At 46.9% G+C, this 24021-nt stretch overlaps 2 annotated features.

Annotated features, from left to right (window-relative positions):
- Positions 11517 to 11717: a silencer, noted in NCBI's record as "peak2810 fragment used in MPRA reporter construct". NCBI's record gives its function as "represses an SCP1 promoter by STARR-seq MPRAs in K562 erythroleukemia cells {active_cell/tissue: K562}" and the evidence as "EXISTENCE:reporter gene assay evidence [ECO:0000049][PMID:32103011]".
- Positions 22481 to 23680: an enhancer, noted in NCBI's record as "BRD4-independent group 4 enhancer chr17:32894480-32895679 (GRCh37/hg19 assembly coordinates)". NCBI's record gives its function as "activates an origin of replication core promoter dependent on BRD2, P300/CBP, MED14 and CDK7 cofactors, and independent of BRD4, by STARR-seq in HCT116 cells {active_cell/tissue: HCT116}" and the evidence as "EXISTENCE:reporter gene assay evidence [ECO:0000049][PMID:35650434]".

A 24021-nucleotide genomic window follows, 5' to 3' on the forward strand; every position in this document is an offset into this window, starting at 1 on the left:
ATGTGGTACATCCATACAACAGAAAATTATTCAGCCTTTTAAAATACAGGAATTTCTGACACATGCTGCAATATGGATGAACCTTGATGACATTAGCTAAGTGAAACAAGCCAGTCGCAAAAGGACAAAGATTGCATGACTCCACCAATATGAGGTACCCAGAATAGTCAACTTCACAGCAACAGAAAGTAAAAAGGTGGATACCAGGGCTGGGGGAGGGAGGAATGGGGAGTTACTGTATAATGGGGACAGAGTTTCAATCTGGGAAGATAAAAAAGTTCTGGAGATGGATGGTAGTGATGGTTGCACAACGATGTGAATATACTTCATGCCACTGGACTACGCCCTCAAAAATGGTTAAAGTAGTAAATTTTATGCTGTGTATACTTTACTACAATTTTAAAAATTATTTCAATAAAGCTAGGTTGGAAAGTGAAGCATGAACTTCAGAGTCAGGCAGGTCTGGATGTGAATCCCAGCTGCCTGAACAATCTTTGGCAACGTGACCTCCCTGAGCTTCCACTTTCTTTTCTGTGATATGAGGAGGGGGCAAGAAGCAACATCTTGGGGTGTATGGAATGGCAGCCATTTTACAAAAATTATCTCAGATATCTGTCCCCCAGCCCTATAATGCCAGTGGGTAATTATTAGCCTCATTTTACAAATGAGAAAGTTGAGCCTCAGTGAAGTGATGGAGTGTGTGTAAGGTCACACAGTCAGGAAGTAGAAGGGCCAGGGTTCAAAATATAAAGATAAAGATGAACATAAAACTGGGCTCTGTATTTCCTGCATTATGATCCTCCAGACACATCTTGAAGCACACGCAGAATCTCACCTTGGGTTTGAAGACTTGGAGGGCACAAACCCAGATGCCCGATTTAGGGACCACTGTTCAGATTCTGATATAAAACCTACTGTTTTAAAGGCCATTACCCAGCACCTCTCAGTTTATGGGCCTCTTTTATATTTACAAGTCCTATGAATGTGCAATTGAAATAGACCAAAAAATGTGTCTCTAGAATCTTACGTGCTTGGAAATCAAAGCAGGACACACTGGTGAAGACAGAAGTTGTTCCAAAAGCTGAAGTCTAAATTATGGGAATCAAGTTGAAATCTCAGTTCTCAGAGTAAAGTTCAAAATACATAAAGAACCAGACAAGATAACAGGTATCATTGCCAAGAGAAGGGAATGGAACTTCAGCAGGAAAAACAAGCCCAAGAGAGTTATCAGATGCTAAAGACCCAGGGTTTCCATGCCACTTCCCCGCCGGGGGCCTCACATGGAGCCCCCTGACTCCAGGATGTGCCATTCACATGTGCTATTCAATAAGATAAATGGTGCCCCCTTAAGTTGTGCGGTATGCCAGCCGGCTCCATCTTCAGGTTATGAGGATTTCTAAAGAGATCAACCATGGTGGGGAGTCAAAGAAGATGGTGAAGTAAGATGTGGGAAATGCCCTTTCAAAAGGTGAAAGCAACATATCCAACATGTGTGCAGCACCTGGTCTGTGTCTCCTTCCTAGGTCTTCACTTGTTTTGTCTCATTTTATTCTCTGCATCTCCCATTTAAGAAGCTCAGAGAGGTTCAATAACTTGGCCACAGTCACACAGCTAGTTTTGGTAGAACCCCAGTTGGAATCCAGATCACTGACTGCACATCAGTCCCTCTCCATCCAGCCACCAGCTGAGAGGACTCCAAGCCAGTCTGGACATGATTTTAACCAGGCCAAACCAGGCTGGAAGAGCCATTGAGGGCTGATGGAAGGAGGAAATTAAGCCACAGAAAGGTAACCTGAAGGGTTTGGGGTATAAACAGAGGGAGGAGGAGACCCAGTTCCTCTAAGCTCTAAGGACCGGGGGGATGAGAATTGAGGGGTTACTGTTGATTAGCATCAGTGAAAACTAGCATCCAGGGTAGGGAGCTGCCACTTGTCTCCCCACTTTCCCAAGTCTCTGTCTTTCCAGGCTTTACTGAGGGATGACCAGTCTGTCCCTGGGTTCTGAACATTCTGGAAATGGCTCTACTGGGGTATTGGAGGGTAGGGGCACTGGAATGCAAAGCTCTGACTTTGGGTCAGGAAGCCTATCTCAGGCACTTGGGTCCAGAAGTGGCCTGTGAACTCAGCATTGGATGGGAGAAAGAGGGACTGAGGTCTTGTCCTTTCTTGGCCCCTTTGAGCTTGACTTTGGGTGTGTCACCTTGCCTCTATGACACTCAGTTTCTTACTTCAATATAGTACAAGGAGGTTAGACTTAGATGATATTTCTAACTGTTTTTCCATACCTAACATCCTTTGTTTCTGGAATTTGCCTCTGCTCCAATCAGAAAGGCTAGAGTAAAGCCTTCTCCAGGGCAGTGGCCTTGTTTTGCAGGCTCACTTGGTCTGGGTGGCTCAGTTGTGTCCCGCCCTTCTCCTTACCCACATGCTCCAGGGCTCAGGCTTCATGAGGAGAAGTGGGGGAGGGGAGCAGCAGCAATGCCTCCCTGGTTCCCAGCACCTCCCTACCTTTCTGAATTTTTAAAAGTGCCTTTACTCAAAGTTCATCAAAAATTCATCAGGCTTGGGATTGGCCCAAGTGTTTGCCTGAGGAGCCAAGTCAAGGTGGAACAGGAGGCCAGCAGGTGGTGCAGACCTCTGGAGCTGCACTGAGGGCATGGCACAGGCCTATATGCTGAACCCTGCACCACCCCGTGGAGAGAGGCCAGAGACCAGGGCAGCAGCCTGCCTGGGGAAGCTTGATCCCACCTCTGGAGACAACCTTTCATCAGCCTGGGCCTTACCTTCTGCAAAGTAGGAGTCAGAGCCTGCCTGTCCTTTTCAAGGAGGTCGGGAGGATCGATGAGGCAATGGGCAGGCCTCACTCTTTCTAAAGTGAGGGCTTTAACATATGGAAAGGGAATTGGATAGCATCACAACTGACTTTAAAGGAAGGTATTTGAGAGCTCCTGGGAGAGCCCAGTGTTTCCAGCCTGGGCAGATGCAAGGGGAAGAAGGGAGATTGCTGGGCCAAACACTCTCCTCTGGGCTTCCAGTAGCTCCTTTCCTCATCCACCTTGTCTCTTTAGCTGCTACAGAAGATTCTGTTTTGGAAAAAAAAAAAAGATGCTGTTAACTTTTTAAAGTTTGCATAGCACTGAATAGTCCACTCTTTCTTTAGAGAAAAAGAAACGGAGGCCCTGCATGGAGAAGTGACTTTCCCAAGGCCATTCAGCCAATCAGTAGCAGAGATGGGGCTGGAGCCCAAGGGTTCTAGCTCCCAGGCCAGGAGCCTGCCTGCTTCTGCATCAGTTTCACCTTGCCAATGCCTTTGTCTGGATGTGTCCTTGGTCACCCAAACCAGATGTCAGCTTATCTGACCACAGAAAGACATTCTCCAAGTCAGCATGACCAGGTTAAGAAAGTGAGTGGATCTTCATTGGACGCCCATGATGGGATGTTCTTGTTTGTGTCTGGCTTATAGGTGCCCCTGGCTGGAGTCTTTCTGTGGAACAAAGTGAAGACCCTCCAGCCCCCAACAGGTACTTGGGTTTCAGTCCTCAGAGCACTGGGTTATCTGGTCCAACTCTCTGGTTTTCAGATGTGGAAATTGAAGCCCAAAGAAATTGTAAGTCAAGGGCAGGCATGGTGTGGGTCACACCTATAATCTCAGCAGTTTGGAAGACAAAGGCAGAAGGACTGCTTGAGGACAGGGGTTTGAAACCAGCCTGAGCAACAGAACCAGACCCTATCTTTATAAAAAATAAAAATAATTAAAAAATTAGCTAGGCACGGTGGCACACACCTGTAGTCCCAACTACTCTGGAGGCTGAGGTGGGAGGATCACTTGAGCCCAGGAGGTTGAGGCCACAGTGAGTCATCATCAAATCACTGTACTCCAGCCTGGGCAAAAGAGCAAGACTCTGTCTCTAAAAAGGAGGAGGAGGAGAGTTGTGAGTCAAATTGACACTAGGCCTCCTGGGTGCCCAGTTAGTGCTCCTGCCACATCACCACACCTCCACTGGTTCTCTGTTCTCCTAGAAGTCCCCTCGGCCCCTCCTCCCCCAGAGGTGTCACGAGGCTGGGGAGGTATGGGGATCCACTCTGGAGGTCTTCACCTCTCGCACTGTATCAGAGAGTCTTGGCCAGCTCTCAGAACCAGAAAACCCACTGAGGACCAAGCAGGACCATAAACCGCAATAATCATGTTTTTAATAATCGCCTAGAGTTTGTTTAACATACAATCACAGCCAGCAATAAATCCAAATTAAAGGCCCAACCAGGAGGCCTAAGTTAAGCTGCCTGCTTGGAAATAGAACAGCTGAAGAAGAGGAGGGGAGAGGAGGAAGAGGAAGAGTAGGAGCAGGAGAAGGGGAGCAGCCCTCTGAGGAGGTAACACCCTCAGGAGGGCCAGGGAGGTGGCCCCAAGCAGGTTAGTAGGTTCCTGCCTGGCCCTAGCTCCAGCCCCAACCCTAGCACAGGTCTTGCTATCTTCACCCAAAAGGATTTCTCAATGGTTCAAGCAGAGAAAATATCTAAGTTCCAAAACCTCAGAGCTGCAAAAGAAAGAGACAATATTCACTCCTCTGCCTGTGGGCACACAAGCTCCATAAGGGCAAGGACCTTCTTGTTATGTTCAGTTCTGTGCTGCCCCCAGCTCCTGGCATCTAGTAGGTAATCAGCAAACATCTGTTGAATAAACACATGAATAAATGAGTGAGTGTGAACGAATGCTTTCCCATCCATTTATTCATTCATTTGGGATATTTTTCCCTCTCAAATATTCATTGAGCAACTATAGTACCTGCAGGTACAGAGATGAACAAGATTCCTGTCATCTAGAAACTGAGTGCCAAAGGACGAATAACAGAGATGACTCCAGCCTAAGGGGGCCTGGCCAGGCCAGCAGTGAAGGGTGGGAAGAGTAAAGGGTTTCAGAAGGGGTTTGCTTAAAGCTGAGTTCTGAAGAGCAATTAAGTGTTAACCAGACTCGCAGGAGCCTAGACCTGGGTGTGGCAAGTGATACTGACCAGAGGATAATGTTCTAGACCAAAGGGGCAGCATGTGCAGAGCAGGGGAGCAAGAGAGGATGTGGCATTGCCCAAGAACCACAGAGAGTTCAGTGGGGCTGGGAACAGAATGAGAGCTGGAAGCCGAGGAGGAAGGAGGGAGGGAGGTGGACAGTTGGCAGGGGCCAGCCATGGACAGCTGTGTGAGCCATGCTAAACAGTTTGGACTTTATCCCGGGGGCAAAAGGGAACTTATGGAAGTGTTTTAAGCAGGAGGTTGACATGACCAGAATTGAAGTTTGGAAAAATCGCTCTAGCCGCAGTATGGAGAATGGATTAGAGGTGAGGGTGCCTGGGGCCAGGCAGAGCCGTCAGGAGGTGGCTGCGGTGATCCACTGAGAAAAGCGAGGGCTGGGACCAGTGAGGGATGTTGACACAGACACCAAGGAGGGCCAAACTCAAGGGATGGGGAGGGAGCAAAGGGCGGCAGTGACTGAGTGTGGGAGTGAGGCAGTGGGGGCATCTGGTGTCTCCCAGTATCTCAGGTGAGTGGGCAATAGCAGTGCCGCTGAGAACCGAAGTGGAGCATGCTGGCCAAGACACTAGGTCTCCTGCAAAGGCCTCTCTGGGAAGATATAGCCACTTGCCGCCTGCAAGGGAGGACAGACACACTCCCCTAGGTCTGCCTTTGGTCCAGTTTGGAAACTGAGGCCTAGGGAGGGTAGAGACTCACCCAATGTCACTCAGCGAGCTAGTGGCAGAGCTGGGAACAGAATCCAGGTCACCTGACTGGGAGCAGAGGCATTACAGTGATGGCATAGTCCAGATTCCCCAGGGCAGCTCCCAGTCCAGATATACCATCTGCCTGTTCTTTTTACCACACTTGAGCTTTTCAAGTCTGTGTCCCCCCTGAGGGGTCAGAAAACACCATCTCTGTTACTGCACTAAAGTGCAGAACTCAAAGGCTACACCGTCCTTTAGACTCTAACCATGGAGGAGAAAGGAAAGAAAACAAGGCATTGGGACATCTGGTTTGAGTCCTTCCTTTTCTGCTTGCTTAGGCTGGGCAACTTCCTGACCCTCTCTGAGCCCCAGACTCATCTGTAAAAAGGGAATCAAATGGGCTCAAGGTATGGATTGAATAAGAACACACACATGAAAGATGAACTGTGAAGCACCACAGATAAAATGATGGTTTATTTTCACATCAACTCCTTTAACAAATATTTGGCCTCTGCCTGTTCCATTCCGGACCTGCCTGGAAGCACCATGGTGCATGTGGAGATGACTAAGACAAGGGCTGCCCGTGGGAACCGTCCCCTGGTCCACAGGCTCTGGAATCTGAGTGAATCCATACAGAAGCTGGGGGCTGGGTCGCATCAGCAGGTGGTCTTACGTGCCAGGGCCTCCCATCCCTTGCACTGCCCCAGGTCTCACTCACACTATATCCTCAACCTTGAATTCCCACCTGGGACTATCATCCCAAGCTATCCAACATTCATTCAACACACCTTTACTGTATGCCAGGCATGGAGATAAGTGCTGCGGTCCCTGCCCTCTGGGAACTTACAATCTGACAGGCCTGGGTGCATATGGGTCCAGTCTGCAAGCAGCTCATGGCACACTCCTGCTCAAAACCCTCCCATTGCACTTAGGATAAAAATCGCACACCTGCCCTTGTCTCAGGGATGTGTCCACCACACTGACCTCATGTCATAGCACTACCCCTCACTTGTGCCACTCCAGAGACAAGTTCTTCAAACACACCAAGAACAGTCCCACTGCAAAGCCTGCGCACGTGCCATACCCTCTGCCTGGAATGTTCCTCTCCAAATACCTACATGGTTCACTCCTTCACTTCATTCAAGCCTGCACAAATATCCCCTCCTCAGAGATGCTTTCCCGATCACCCTTGCTAAAAGAACTGCCCCAATCTCATTTCATCTTCCTAACCTGATGTATTTCTTCAAAGCACTTACTATGACCTTTCTTTTAGATTATTTAGATTCAATTATATTTTTATTTGTTTACTATCTGTTTCTCCCAATGCAATATAAGCTGCATGAGATTTGATTTCGTTAACTGCTCCCCCTCAGTGCCTGCAACAGAGGTCAATAAAGATTGATTGATTGATTGATTTGTTGATTGATTGGATGAGTGAATGCCTGAGTCAATACTTGTGGCCTTTGTGCGATGAGAGAAGCACTGACTGCTTCTCCCTGACTCCAAAATGCACTTTTCAAAAACACTTACTCATTTCTGAGATGGAAATACATACATTTAGAGCAGGGTTTCTGTTCCCCCAAAAGCTATTATTAAATCGATGGTGCATCTCACAATCGATGGTATCTCACAATTGAGGGAATGCACAGTAACCCAGAGAGGGCAGGGAGTCCTCCTCCCCAAGGAGACTCGGTGGAAACTTCTCCAGACAGATAATATTTCATGGAGCTTTAAGGAATGAGTGAGCATTTTCTGCAATGAGGTGGCAGAAAAAGCATTCCAGGCAGAGGAAACAGCACATCCAAAGGCACAGGGGTCTGGAACAGCAGCTGTTTGTTGCCAGAAGAGACCCATAGTCTGGAGCAGCTGGAGTGGAAGGCATTGGGGGTAGTGACTAAAGATGAGATGACAGGTCATTTAGAAAGGGCCTTAACTGCCCCTCCAAGGGACATGAGCTTTGTTCTGGAGGCAGATGGTAGCCATGGAGGGGTGTGAATTCCTCATTCTTCTCTCTCATGTCCACCCCATATCAGACCACACAGAAAAGCATGCTTCCGGATTTAGTAGGGTAGGTTAAATCCTACATCCAAACACCAAAACCCAAAATGGATTTTTTTCTACTTTCTCTCCATTATGCAGGTGATTTGCTACTAGACCTGTTTCCACTTGGCCTTCAGAAGCCGAGCCTGTGGGGCATGGCACTCCCTTTGGCATCCCCTACCAGGCCTGGGGAAGGGCAGCAGTCTGGTCCTCTGCCTGCCCAGGATGGCCTTCCTGCCTCAGGGAGATTGATTTCCCTCCTGCCCTGGAAAGGAAAGAAAGGAGGAAGCAGAGCCCCAAGCTGCCTCCTGATACTACCAGGTGCCAGGCACTGTGCTGAGCACGTCATATCCATTACCTTCTCTCCCTGGGAGGTGGGTAACACTGTCATTCCCATTTCACAGATGAGGAAACTGGGGCTGCCGCTCCAGCACCTGCCATTGCCTGGCCCATAGTGGACACTTTATAAACATTTCATTTTCCCATAACATTAACTGGGCACTCACTCTATGCAAGGCCTTCCACCAGGACCTGTTTCTAAATGCTCATGCTGGTCTCTCTGAACGGAGTCCCCTGTGCCCCTTCACACCTGGAAAACTCCATGGATTCTTCAAGTTGCTGCTCAGATGCCACCTCTTCTGTAAGGCTTTGCCTGACCTTCCCCAGCAGGACCCAGTACTCTGTCCTCTGCTTCCCTCCCACTCTGCACAGCATGAGACTTCCCTTCTTCTAGGGCAGGAACTGAGCCTAGCACACAATCTGGCATACAGTGAGTCTTCAAAACATATTGGTTAAATGTGTGAGTGAGTGAATGAATGAATGAATGAACGAACAACCAAGTGATCAACAAAAAGATGCTCCCATAATGGAGAGCAGAATCAAAAGTGGGGAAATATACCAAGCTGAAGTAGGAGTCAGGGAAGGCCAGCTTCCTTCCACCAAGCTTAGGATGTCAGAGCCAGGAGGAAGGCATTCTGGGATTACTCCAACCCGGGGTGAAGGAAGGATGAGGGGAGTTTTCACAGAGGAAGTAGCTTCGGATAGGGCTTTGACAGGAGTTACAAAGGACTTGCATGGGAGGAGAAAGAGCAGTAGGAAAGGCCAGGCCAGCTTGTCCTGGCAGCAGCCATGCCTGAGGGTGGGGGCCCATTTAGCAAATGGAGCTCAGCATTCAACCGCCCTTCACCAAGCACCAGCAGAACAGAAGTAATCTTTGGGTTTGCAGTTAATTTGTTCTTTTAATGGACCTGTATTGTTGTCAGTGATTAAAATGGGCTTCCCCCATTAGCTGCTGGATTCCAGGGAGGCAGCTGGTTTCCCAGCCCCTCTGCCTTAACAAAAAGTGAATGGACGGGCACATATGTGTTCAGGACTGGGGGGAGCTGGGCAAACACACACTAGCTCAGAGGCATGTGTACCCCTGTGGATATGCACGGTGAAACTTAAACACAGGCTATTTTGAACATAGAGACTCAAGTCCAGTACATTTAAATGTGAATCACACCAATGTCTGCGCATATGGATTGAAAAGATTCAGTGATTCCTATATTCATGAAAAGGCTGAGCTGAAAAAAGCCTTAGAGACCATTGAATCTAAGCCTTTTTTTTTTTTTTTTTTTTGACAAATAAAAGGGAAATCCCAGAAAGGATAATCAACTTTCCTGAGGCTACACAGCACCTTGATGCCAGAGCCAGGTCTGGAACCCTCCTCCCCTGGTCTGTGTCAGGGACCTCCTAAAATATGAGCAGCAGCAGCAGGTCTAGGCACCTCAGAGCCTGAGTTCCCAACTGTCCTCCAGGGTCTGCCTTCTTGTTCATTTTCTGCTCCACCAACCTGTTTCCTAAACATAAATGTAATTACGGCATCACAGTTCAGCTCACAACAGTTCTACCCGCTGACATGTGTGCAGCACTTTACAGTTTGCAAACTGCTGCACCTCATTAACTCTCAGTCTCAAAGGTAGGCAGAGCTGGTATTATTTTAATCTCCATTTTTCAGATAAGGAAGCCAAGGTTCAGAGACAGTAAGGGATTTTTCCAAGCTCACAGCTTGAAAAGATAAGACCAAAATTCAAAGCCAGGCCTCCCAAATCCAAATCCCAGTTCCCCCCAAAAGCTGTTCCATGGTTGCTGAGTGCAGAAACCAAGGTTCGTTCTTCTAAAATTGCATTCAGAAACACGACGGTCAAGAAGCACACACACACACACCCATCACCCCAACACATGTGCCCGAACAAATGAGCAAGGCTGGGATGTGTTCATCAGCCTCCCCTATTCATACATTCCCTCCCCAACCTAGCCAAGGCTGGTCCAAATCTGCTGACACTCCGGGCACTTAATAAACAAAAACATCAAGTCACTCAATCAATAAGCTCAGCTGTCAACAACAAGCGAGGGCTGAGCACTCCTAAGAGCTAATAATGCTTTGAGCTATAAACATGGCCATTAGCTGGGCTCCTGCCCTGCCAGGCGGGCTCTGCCACTGTAGGCAGGGGTACCTGCAGCTGGAGGCCGTGGTATTTCATGGTCGGCTGAACCCACCAGCCCATCCGGGCTGGGCTTTTGCTGCCACCTCCTTCCCCTGACATCCTGGGTACCCCTGCCTGGGACATAAGGAGGGGCTGCCAGGCTAAGAAGGCCCCAACTGAATCCTCCCAGAAAATGTGGAAACCCCAAGGGCCACCACTTCCAGGGCTTCTGACTTGGAAGCCTGTGCTGCCTCCACAACCACATAGTGCCACCCTTGAGAGCTGCCAGTGGATGATGCTACACATCAGCCTTGGAGGAGTCCCATTCAGAGAGGATGCCAGACTATCTGCATTTGAATCTGGCTCGGCAACTTAGCAGCTGTGGGACCCTGGGCAAGTTACTTAACTTCTCTGTTCCTCAGCTGCCTTATCTGTAAAATGTAAATTACAGCCATCTCCCAAGGTGACTGTGAAGCTCCTGAGGTGGCTGTTGTGACTTCTGTGCCTAGCAGAATGTCCAGCAGTTAAATGGTGCCTGGGAAATGACACAAGAGGAAAGTAATCCATGGAGCCACCTATGTGGGTGGGAGAAGCCAGCACGGTTGAAAGGGGGAGGAAACCTGAGCCAAGAGGACAATGTCCCCACCCTCCTGTCTCCCATACCTTGATGTCAAGCATGGTTGGGCAGCAAGCAGAGTCCACCTTTGTCCAGCTGTTTCCTCCAGATGATATCTGACCTTAAAAATTTTGTTCAGCCTGGGCAGGTGGGGGAGGTGAGGGATTAGCAGGCCTGGATGGTACCGGAAGACAAAAGACAGTGGCCTGCCAGGATGCCAGCCCTGGACTAGGGTGGGCACTGAGGCCCCACCCTGGATCCTAAATCCAGGCACAAGATTACACTACTAGACTCTTCTTTTAAATGAGTATAAACCTTGGCAGGGAGTTGCACCACCTGAGCTGTTGTTGCAGCATGTAGAATCAGGGGTCATGTACTCCTCCAGCTTCCCAGAGGAAAATAAGATGCCTTCTTTGTAAGTAGGATTACTTGTCAGCACTTTTGACATTCCAGTGGCTTCTCCTATCTGTCTCCCTGCCTGCCTGTCTCACAGTCTCTGTCTCTCTCCTCTATCTCTCTCTATGGCTCTGTGCCTGTCTCTGTCTGTTCCTTTTTGTCTCCCTTTATCTTTTTGTCTCTATTTTATCCCTCAGAGACAGTGTGAGCACACACACACACATATGCACATGATCTTATTTCACCTACCACTAACTCTTCACCCAGTTCAGAATTCCTGGGAACTTTTGGATAAGAGTTACCACCAATGTCCCAAGGTTAAGGAGCGAAGCATCTGCCAGGTATGACGGTTCAGAACCATGGACAGAGTTTCGTGGCTGGGATCTCCTGGCCCTTAAGGAAGGAGGGCAGCTCACAGTGTCTTGGATGGGTCAGGGGAGTAGGGGAAGAAGCTCCTAAGACTGGCAAGGGAAGAAGAGGAGGAGCCTGGAGAGGTGTGAAGGGCTGGACCTGTGAAAGGAGGTGGAAGTGAGTGTCAAGTGGTGAGGCTGACTTGGGCATATCTGCGTGTAAAAGTGAAGTAAATGAAATGTAAATGCCGTGACTGTGTAAGGGAGTTGAGTGGATCTGAAGGCAGCTATGAAGGCCATGCTAAGGAATGCAACCCAGAGTGAGAGCTGTGTTGGCTTCAGCCTTCCTAGGGTTTCCCTCCTCACTGACTCCTGGAATCCAGAGTGAGTCCCAGGGGCAGCAGAGACCTACCAAGCTAAGCCCCAGGGAGCAGCAGGAGAGCTGAGTGCCTGTGGAGGGAGGGCAGGCAAGAGAAGCAGGACATTCCACCAGGCTGGAGGGTAAATATTTAAAGGGCTGTTTCCATGTGTATAAAAACTCAGTGCATCTGCTAGGCAGTATTTGCAGAAGCTGGGAGGGGAGAGCTGGACCCAGGCCAGCCAAGAAGCCTGTTTAAACCCTCTAACTCACAGCTCCCTCAACCCACACTGCACCGGCCTTCTGGCTCTTAGAGACACAGAGCCCTCTGCCTACTGATACACATGCTTGCACACAACAATACCCTGTGTACAGGGACATGACTAGACACACAAACATACATACATGCACGCACACACATATGCACAGCTCACTGGTTCCTACAGAGATGCACAAGTGAACACACACTCACAGCACCCAGATACACACCACAGACTCACAGCCAGACAGTGCAGATAGCACACTGCATGCCAGATCTCTCTCTGTCTCTCTCTCTCTCTCTCATACACACACACACACACACACACACACACACACACACACACACACACACACACAAACGCACCAGCCACACTGTATCACATACCCAATCAGACCACATAGCTCACATATCATTACAAATACATCCACAGTGGCCTATACATCTCACATGGTAACTCACACACTTGGTCCACATGGCATCACACCCACAAATGTCTGTATGACTTACACTGAAACACACAGAGACCAAGAATCACACATTAAACAATATTACAGGTGAGCCAGTACATGCACAGAAAGCCTGCCAGATCTCAAACAGGAATCAAATACAGTCATCCTCCACGTAATGCTGTTTCAATCAACAACAGCCTGCATATTCAAGGGTGGTCCCATAAGATTATAATGGAGCTGAAAATTTCCTATCGCCTAGTGATGTAATGTTGTAGCACAGCCCATTACTCACATGTTTGTAGTGATGCTGCTATAAACAAACCTACAGGACTACCAATTGTATAATAGTCTAGCATGTACAATTATGTATAGTACATAATATTTGATAATGATAATAAAGGACTGTGTTGATGGTTTATCTATTTACTATACCATGCTTTTTATCGTTAGAGTGTACACCTTCTACTTATTAAAAAAAATGTTTACTGTAAAACAGTATGCTGTGTTACTCCAGCAGCAGCCTCATATATCTCGTTTACTGCACTTCTTGATTGCACTGTTTTCTCTTGTGCTTGATTTAACCTCACAATGTTTTGTTCATCATAGCCCCAAAGTGAACAAAATCCACTGCTAATGTTGCCAGTAAGAGGCCACATCAAGTGATTGTCCTGGAAACAAAATTAAAAGTGATTAAGGACTATGAAGGTGGAGAATCAGTGATGGTTACTGCTCATCAGTCAGGCATGTGTCATTCCACCATAGCTACAATCTTGAAGAACAAGATCAAAGTGACAGAAGCTGCTAAAGGATCTGCTTCATTGAAGGCAATGATACTAACAAAAGTTCTAAAAGGGCCCATATCAGATAGACAGAAATTTCTAATGACTTGATTTGAAGACTAGACACAGAAGCCTATCCCTCCCAGCACCGTGATGATCACTGCCAAAGCAAAAATTTCGTGATGTTGAAAGAAGATGCTGGACCCAACTATGATGTTGAATTTACTGTTAGCCCCGGGTGGATTAAATGATTCAAGAATCATTATTTATTACATTCTGTGAAAGTGAGTGGTGAGTTTTCAAGTGCTGATGTGATGGCAGCTGAAGAATTTTTGAAAACTCTGGCAATCTGATCGTGGAGGAAAATTACTTGCCAGAGCAAATCTTCAATATGGATGAAAGCTGCCTATTCTGGAAATGGATGCCTGAAAGGACTTTAATCCTAAAGAAGGTCAAGTCAATGCCAGATTTCAAGACTTTTAAGGACAGGATGACAATCTTGCTTGGGGACAATGTTGCAGGCCACAAATTGAAACCCTTTGTGATCTGGGACAGTGAGAACCCCAGGGCCTCAAGCATATCAATAAGCACACATGGCCAGTGTACTTCAGGAGCAATAATAAGTCATGGATGACCCAACTCCTCTTCCAAGACGCCCCCTTGAGTTGCTATGCCAGCAAAATAGAGAAATGCTGTTTGGAGAATAACATACATTTCAAGATTTTGCTTATTGTTGATAATGCTCCCACACATCCCTCTTTTATTGGTGATCTTCATTTCAATATCAACGTGGTCTTTCTGTCTCCAAACACCACCTCTTTGATTCAACCAATGGAGAAACGAATTATAGCAGCTTGTAAGACCTACTGCTCAGGGAAGATCTTTGTTCAGGCTATTGCTACAACTAAGGAAGGCACTGAGAAGATATTGACGCAATTCTGGAAAAATTACATCTTTGCATCGTGAACCTTGCTTGGGCTTAAGTGATGTCATCAATGAGTGTATGAATGGCATCTGGAAGAAGACACTCAAGAGGTTTATCCAAGCTTCAAAGGATTTTCCAAGCATAAGGGGATTAAAAATCAACAAGGCTGTGGTTGAAATGGCAAACAGCTTCAACCCGGGTGTGGATGAGGATGACATTGAGGAGCTCTCAGAGGTGGTTAATGAAGAATTGACTAAGGAGGAATTGTTGGAACTGGAACAGGATCACATAGCTGAAGAAGAGGCAAGAAAAAGGGAAAGTACAGGAGAAGAAAAAGAACCCTGAAGAAAATTCACAGTGAGGAGTTTAGCAGAAGCTTTTGCAGACCGCAACAAGCTCCTTAAAAGGTTTGAAAATGTAGACCCTAACAACAAAAGGTTTGCATTAATAGAGAGGAATGTTCATGGTGCATTATTTGCTTACAAGCAAATCTATGATGAAAAAAGAAAACAACCAAGCAAACTACCATGGATACGTTTCTGAAAAGAGTGACACTACCTCAGGAACAGCCTCAGGCAGGTCCTTCAGGAGGAATTCCAGGAGAAAGCACCATTATCACAGGAGATGACAGCTCTATACATGTTATTGCCCCTGAAGACCTTCCAGTGCAACAAGATGTGGAGGTGGAAGACAGTGATATTGATCATGCTGACCCTGTGTAGGCCCAGGCTAATGTGTGTGTTCATGTCTTCACTTTTAACAAAAAACTTTATGAAGTACAAAAGAAATAAAAAATTTTAAATAGGAAATCTCTTATAGATTAAGGATATAAAGAAAGAAGATATTTTGTACAGCTATACAACATTTGTGTTTTAAGCTGTTATTACAAGAGTCTGAAAGTTAAAAAAAAATTAAAAAGAGTTTACAAACTAAAGAAGTTACAGTAAGCTAAGGTTAGTTTATTACTGAAGAAAGAAAAATATTTTTAATAAATTTAATGTAGCCTAAATGTACAGTGTTTATAAAGTCTACAGTAGTGTACAGTACTGTCCTAGGCCTTCAAGTCCATTCACCACTCACTGATTGACTTACCCAGATCAGCTTCCAGTCCTCCACATGCCATTCATGGTAAGTGTTCCATACAGGTGTGCCATTCTCTATCTTTTATACTGTATTTATACCCTACCTTTTTTCTATGTTTGAATATGTTTAGATACACAAATACCACTGTGTTAAAATTGCCTACAGTATGCAACATGGTAATATGCTGCACAGGTTTGTAGCCTAGGAATAAGAGGTCATACTATATAGCCTAGGTGTGTAGTAAGCTATACCATCCAGGTTTCTGTAAGTACACTCCATGATGTGTGCACAACAATGAAATCACCTAATGATACATGTTTCAGAATGTATCTTCATCACTAAGCAACGCATGACTGCATATACTTTAAATAGCATGTCACACTCACACATAAGTGTGCACACACAGACATTTAACACTCATGAACTCACATAGCTCACACATCAGTTTACTTATTAAAGGCCCGAGAAACATCCTGCAGCATTACATGCTACCTTGCATATGCCACTTATCACCACTCAGGAGGCTTGAGACTATAAGTATAAACACTGTACATTTAGACTACATTAAATTTATTAAAAATATTTTTTCTTCAATAATAAACTAACCTTAGCTTACTGTAACTTGTTTAGTTTGTAAACTCTTTTTAATTTTTTTAACTTTCAGACTCTTGTAATAACAGCTTAAAACACAAACGTTGTACTACCATATAAAGTTTATATGGTAGTAATTAAGAGACTTACTCTGGAGTCAGATGGCCCGGGTTAGAATCCCAGTTCTGCTATTTATAATCTGATCTCGGAGGTGCTCATGAGAATTAAACGAGGTAATGAATGATGAACTTAGAATGGTATCAAGCACATGAAATGCACTCAATAAACCCTATAATTATTATACGGTTTGCAAATATTTACAGTGCCCATTTCACAGGTAAGGAAATTGAGGCCCAGAGAGTTGAAGTGATATGTCCAGAACCATAAGAATGATAATAAAGATGGCAGTGGTGGGGATAATTGTGGTGATGATGACAATAATGGTGACGATGGTGATGACAATGATGGTAGTGATGAAGATGATGGTGATGATTATGATGATGATACTGATGCTGGTAGTGATGATGATGGTGGTATTCATGGTGATGACAATGATGATGGTGGTGGTGATAGTGATGATGGTGGTGATTATGTTGATGATGATGATGGTGATGATGGTGACAGCAATGATATATAACAGCAGATACTTATTTAGCACTTACAAGAGCCTAACATAGTCTTCAATGCTTTCATGTATATTATCGCATTTCATACACATAACATTCATATGAGATAGGCACTATGATTATCCCCATTTTACAGTTGAGGAAACTGAAGAACATAAATGTTAAGTAATTTGCCCCAAGTCGCATAGTGAGTGATTCAAAGAACCATGCAGCTCTGGCCAAGGAGCCTTAACTCCTCTGACTTCCCTTCTGCTCTTCTGTGAAATGGTAACAACTATGTCTCCCTCAGAGGGATTGTTTCTAGGACTGGGCATATTTGCAAGCATAAATGGTCTTTGTAAACTATGAAACTATCTATAGATATTGACAGCAGTACCATGGATCTAGGAACTTCACAGAAAGTTTGGCTTTCAGTTTCTGTGATCAGAGAGGCATCTGGATCTCTGTCTGGTTTTCTTGGGAACATTCACAAATGCCAGAATTCTTTGAAGAAAGTGCTCAGAGAGAGATGGTTCTGGGGCCAGCAAGGGTAGAGCCTTGGGAGCAAACTGGTTTACATGACTTTTTCTAGCAATGAGAAAAGTTACATCTCAGTTCAGCATAGGCTATGTTACACTGCAGTAACAACCCCAAAATCATCTTGTTGTCATTAAATTTCCATCACCATTCAGCAGGAGGTTCTGCTCAGGGTCGCCACTGGGCCCCGGACTGATGGAGTGGCTAACATCTTGCATGTTGCCAGTCACTCTACCAGAAGGAGAAGATTGCTCTGGAGGGTCTTACTTTGGCAATTAAGCGCTTGGTCTGGAAGTGACACATGCCAATTCTGCTCACAAAGTGAGGAGACAGAACTAACACAAAACCCCACTCAAGAGGACCAGGCACAGCAATCCTACCATGTAGGTGGGGAACAGGTGGGGACAGCTGGAAATAGCTGTATAGCAGTACTAATGATGGCCACAAGGAGGAAAGAAGCAGCAGCAATGGCTCAAAACAAGGGGAGTGCTATGCTCTGCAGCCAGAACTGCTGGGGTGGATCCGCCTGCTGTGGCAAGCACACCTGGTCCTGAGAAAGCTTCCCTCCCAGGGTGATGTTCCAGGGAAGACTTGGACTATGGAGTCCTAGAGATCTGGATTTGGAAGCTGGTTTTGCAACAATTCTATGTAACTGTGGATGGTTATATCCTCTTTGAGCCTCAGTTTCCTCATCTGCAAAACAGGGTAAGCTCCCTACCAAAAAAGATGTCGAGGAGATAGCACCTGTACTGTGCTAGACACCATGCTTGGTACATACCAAATGCTTTAGAAAGGGTGGCTATTCTTCTCCAAGGGTTAAGGCATTGAAGACACCTATCCTCCACCCTGGCCCCAGCCTCTGAGCCTGGACTTTCCCACCTCTCAGTTTATCCCACCCTGTCGGCCTCCTGCTGTCATCAGGTGTCTGCAGTCCTGTCATGCCTTGCAGTGACACTGGCACATCCTTTACGCATGAAAGGAGAGAGGGGAATGCTGCCTACCTGGAAAGGAGTGAGCCAAGGAAAACTTCAGTGGTTTATATGCATGCTCATTAATGAGGAAAACAATTATCCCCCCAAACGTAGGGACTTGATGAAGAAGAGATCTTCCAAGGTAGCACAGGTACCCTCATCCTGAGAATCTGCCTCTCCCGCAAACTATGGTTGCCTCTGGGTCCAGAATGATTCGTGGGCATCCCCAGATCAGGTGGGTGGAGAAGAAGAGGTGGGGGTCTGCTTTCCTCAAGCCCATACTTCCTCAGCTTCCTTATCTTTTCTCTTTATTCTTTTTCCCAAGCACATGTTTACACCCCCATATCTCCAACTGCTGCCCATAAGTGTGCAGCTCCCAAATTGCTCTCTGGTCCAAACTTCTCTCTCAAGCTCCTAGCTCATGTTCTCCTTGCCTCTTGTGTATTTCCATGCCCAAGTCCACAGACACACCAAGTTCAGCCTGGTCCAAACCTAACTTATCTTCTCTCCCAGCCCTCCCCAACCTGGTCTTCCTCCCACATTCCCCATGTAATTGCATGAACATTTAAAGACATCCATTTGTTCAACACAACTTTAATATCCTCTCTCTAGCAGACCCTGTGCCAGGAGCTGGGGATACAAAAATGAAGGACATGGTCTCAGTCCTTGGCAAGTTCTCAGTCTAAACGGAAAGACAGACATGGACCAAGCACTGTGAAGCAATTGCAGGGACATATGGGGGCAAAAGAGGGAGTAATCAACTTTGCAGTTGAGGCTGGAAGTGGTTAGAAAAACCTCCCAGGGAAGGCAACTTGAAAGGTGAGCATCCTGGGAACAGGTGGGAGGTGGCATTCCAGGCAAAGGGAATAGCAAGTGCAGAGTCTCTCAACATCACAGCACATTCGGAGAGCACAGCCATCTGTGGCTAAAGCATCAGGTGCAGAATTGGAGGAAAGGAGTGAGTAGGGGTAATTAAGTGCAAAAGCAAGCAGGGGACAAGTATTTCGGTGTCACTTCACTATGTCCTGAGAATAGATTCCCTCTACTAATGGGGGCGCATTGACAGGACAAGTGTGTGTGTCTCATCAAGGAGTAAGGGATCTCTAGGATCACTGGGGACTCCCTTAGCCAAGTCCACGTTCAACAAAACCTGCCAAAAATGGGAGGTCATTTCCTTTTACCTCGTAGCTTCTGCTTCCTCTTGGCTTATGCCTCCTCTTAGCTTGTGCTGGCCATGACCTCTTAAGGCCCTGACTCTTCCTCATTTTCCTGGATTCTTCCGTAAACTCTAGTAATTCTGGAGCCTTGGGTTGCCTGGTCTTGAGTTAAGTCTACCCCAGGTCCAGCCAGCTGAAACCCAGGGAGACCCGTGGCTGCCCTTTCACTAGGGAATCTGCACAGATGAGATTGATAAGGGAAACAGAGGGGTTTGAGTAGCTCAGCCACCTCCAGGTCTAGTGCTGCAGCAGGTCTACAGGGCCTTAGAGGAAGTACTTGGACTTTATTCTGAGGGCAATAGGTATCCATAGATGGATTCTAAAAACGAAAGTGATAAAGCAAGATTTTTGAATTAAACAGATGATGGGAAGATGCTCTAAGTGCTTGGCAGTGTGGGCCAGAACATTCATGGAGGAGGTAGCCCTGGCCCTTCTGCCCATAAATCAGAGGCTCTGGGGCACAAAGTGCACTAATGGGAGCTAGTCACTAAAGAAAGTTTATTTCCCAGACTCATGGAAGGCAGAGCTCACTCATTCCCACTTATTCATGTAGATAAGGAGCAAGAGTCTTGCTCAAAGTCACTGTATGAGAGTCCAAGCTGAACTTGAGTCCAGTCTCTAATCCAGTGCTGCACAGCTTCTGTGGCTGAAAGCCTCCCCACCTTACAGAAGGGAAGAAGCCGTTTCTAACTCCCTATAAACAACTGGGAGCCCCCACCACAGCTCCTTTATGAATGCAGCCTAAACCTATCACCCCACTACCTCCACATCCTATTTTTCTGGACTAATTTGTCAAGGACAGAGGCAGCCAAATCAGCAAGCCTGCTGCTGTGAAAGCCAGGTGGCAGGGAGGTAAAAATCCATGATAGGAGGCCCTAACACCCTTTCTGGTCCCTGAAAAAAAAAAAAAAAAAGCATTCTGAAGCCCACAATTCAAACATGCAGACAAGCACACACATACAATACACACATAGAAGTTGCCAATTCAGCCAAAAACCTTTCAGAAGTATCTCCAGGCTGCACTGTCTGTCCTCATTTTAGCCAGTTCTCCCTGGAGAACTCTGGGTGGGGATCCTGAGCAGAGACCACTACACAGATCAGTTGCCCCCTGGTCCTGCTCAAAAACTTACTTTTCCTCTCTAGGCTTTTTGCCTCTTAAATCTCCTCTTTGACGTGTACTCTGTCTCTTGGCTGCTTTCTGTCTCTATTTCTCTCTGTATCTTCCTGGATCTTAATGAGTCTTTTGTCTAGGTCTTCCTAGGTCTCTCTGGGTCTCTGCCTTGGTCTGTGTGTGTCTACGTCTCTGTCGCGCTGTCTTTTTCTATTTTTTTTCTCTGTTTATATGACTCTTTTTCTGTGGCACCGTTATAGACTAGCAGAGTAGAAAGAGCCTTTGGACTTTATCAGGCCCAAACCGGTACCTGTGAAAATGAGGAAATTGGAGCCCAACATGAGGAAGAGACTTACCCATGAACATACATCCAGTTTTGTACTACTATGACTAAAGCCTCTCTTGTTTTATCAAAACTAGAGTTTTCCACACCAGTTTGTATTGGTGCCAAGTAGAAGGAGGAGAAACAAGATAAGGAAGGCAGTGGAGATTCTACAGCAGCTAGGTGCACTAGGAAGAGCCTTGAATCAGTAGATAAGAACTCAGTTCTAGTAAGAGTAAGTGAACATGTTGCTTAACCTCAGGCATGTCACTTACCATCTCTGAGCCTCAGTTTCCTCTTCTGTGAAATGGAGATAACTAGACCAATCCTGCCTGCTTCAAAGGTCTCTGATTAATTTCTTATTAGAGAAAGGATGTGGAAGTATTTTGGAATAAATTATAAAGCATCAAGCAGGAATGGAAGGCAGGACAAGGACAATAACTGATGACTGATAATGATGATGATAATGATGGTAGTGATAGCAATGAGAGTGGTAATGATGACAGTGGTGGTGGTAATGAGAATGATGATGCTGGTGATGAGAGTTGCGATGATGGTGGTGACAGTTATGATGATGTTGATGTTAAGGTTATTGATGGTACTGATGATGGTGATGTTAGTGACAAGAGCTGTGATGATAGTGGAGATGTTGGTGATGACAGTAACGAGGGTGATGAGAGTTATTATGAGAGGGTAATGATAATGTTAGTGATGATGGCAGTGATAATGGCGATGTTGGTAATGAGAGTTATGATGATGGGGACAATGATGATGCTCGTGATGATGGGGGTGAGAGCTGTGATGGTGGTGATGATAGTGATGAGAGTTATGATGATGGTAATGTTGGTGGTGATGGTGGTGATAATGGTGATGTTTGTGATGGTGGTGGTGATGCTGGTAATAATGGTGACAATGGTGATGGTGGTGATGAGAGTTGAGATGAGGAAGACAATAGTGATGATGGTGATTGTGTTCACAAAAACAAAATGTAATGCCCTGGATCCAGCCTTCTGAGAGTGACATATAAAACAGTGAGCATGCTTTGGAGACATCAGCACTCCTTCCACCTCATACCCAAGAACTTCTCCCCACCCCATACCAACCCAGGCCTCCAATCACACCTTCTCCTCCAAGTTACCCCAAATCCCTGATCCAAGCTCCAGACCCCTCAGCCTTCCCATCTCCTCCAGCCCCTTCCTTGCAGGTGCCACTCTATGCTGAGCCGATGTGTGTCACCTCCCTCTCTGCAGCCTCAGCTGCTCTCCCCTGGCCACCTCCCCAGCCTGTTCTTTCCCTGGACTCACTCCTACACCCAGGAAAGGAGAGCACACACAGTCACCATAGCTATTTATACCTGGAACACTTCATGTTTTCCTGCCTCGGCCTCCTTCCATTCAGCACCACCCTGCATCCAGCTTTCTAATACAGGACAGCCAGAGCTCTTCCTGCTGCCCACACCCTAGCTCTTCCTTGACTTCTGCAGCAAGACCACTATGGGATGTAAGAGGGTTGCTCACAAGGTAGAACCAAACCCAATTCTCAGCCTCAATTTCCCCAACATGGGAATGATCCCTTAGGCTCTGGAGACTATGAGAAGAGTTTCCTAGCATGCATAGATGGAGGGTCAGTGGCTTCCAACCTCTGATGACACCCTTCCCTTCCACAGCAGGCTGGAGCCAGAGGAGTGCAGCTGTAAGATGGGCAGTGTTCTCTGTGTCATGGGGCAACCAGTGCTTCTTCCCATTGCCCTCTCTTTAGCACAGAGAAAGGATCAGGACCAGTCAGGGGATTAGAAGGGATTAAGAGCAGGAGGGAAACAGAGCTGTCGGACAGAACTAAAGGCTGAAGTTCGGAGCTCCAGTGTCCTTATCCTTGTAATGCCTCCCATCTGTTGTACCTCAGTCTCCCTTTTGTAGAAGGCATAGCCTCTGAAAGATGCAGAAGCCTATTGAATGGCCTCAGTGCACAAGGGGACAGCGGCTGGCAGCCTCCTACTGCCCTGGCCTCCCCTGCACCACCTCCCCCATCCATGGCTGCATCTTTGACAAGGACCGCTAGGGAATCAATCACTCTCAGCAGAGCCAGGCCCCGGCCCCTGACATTCCAATTAAATGCTTCACTCTGACCTTGGTTGCATCATCTCAGCTTGGAATAACATCATCTATCTTCTGTAGATGGACAAAGCCTATGAACCAGGCAGCGGAAACTAGCAGCCACCAGTCCTCAGAGCCGCCTCATCACCACAGGGACACATTTCAATCAAAAGGAACTGCAGCAGCAGCATTCTCAGGTAGAAAAGCCATCATCCTTCCCAGGGACAAGCATTCATCTCTGCTGGAGGAACGAAACAGCCTGAGTCCCTGCCAAGGGGAGCCCCATGTTTATCCTGCTGTCTTTCCCATTAGTCGGCTGTCAGCATTCGGTTGGGAACTCTGGAGTCCCAGGTGGTGATCGCTGGGAAAAGGGAGACCAAGGACAGGGCTGATGGAACCTGGTTAGAGCTGGGAGACAGCCCCCCGCAGGGAGTGCCCTTGCCTGATGGAGTACATCCAGCCCTTCCCTGAGGCAGCCCACACACTTAGAGGGGAGAAGATGCCTCTACAGTGGAGCTTCTTCCAGACTGATAGGAAGAAGACCCTCCTCTCTGATGAGGAGACACAGCCCTTCCTGGCGAGAGCCCAGTCTGAGAGACACAGAGAAGACATGGCCCCTCCCTGGCTGCAGAGACACAGCACTTGCTTTGTAATACTCCATCTGAAGGGGAGTATCACAAGGCCTCTGCTGCATCATGGGTATCCCCCTGCATTCCCCCCGATGGAAGACCTCGGGAAGCTGAGCCCCTCAATGCAGGGATTCCTAGAGGAATGTTTGTAATCTCTGATGTCAGACAGGCCTGACCTGGGTTCCAACTCTAACTCTATGTTTTCCTCCCTGTGTGTCCTTGAACCAGTGACTCAACCTCTCTGAGCCTCCTCTCTTTACCAAGAAAGTGGGAACCACCTTGAGAAGGAACTGAGGTCATGTATATGAAACACAGAACGTCTGACACACTGAGACCCTCAGTGGAAGACAGTGGACTCTGGGCGTGTCCAACTCAAGGGACAGGGAAAGGGAGCAACCCAGGTCCCACACGGTAAGAACCGAGTCAGCATCGGGGACCAGGAGTGGGGCCCCCAATCTGCCACACCCCTCTTTGGACCACCAGAAGGCAGCACAGAGGTCAGATGCCCA

This window comes from Homo sapiens, chromosome 17 (genome assembly GCF_000001405.40).
Source record: "Homo sapiens chromosome 17, GRCh38.p14 Primary Assembly".
NCBI classification, from domain to species: domain Eukaryota; kingdom Metazoa; phylum Chordata; class Mammalia; order Primates; family Hominidae; genus Homo; species Homo sapiens.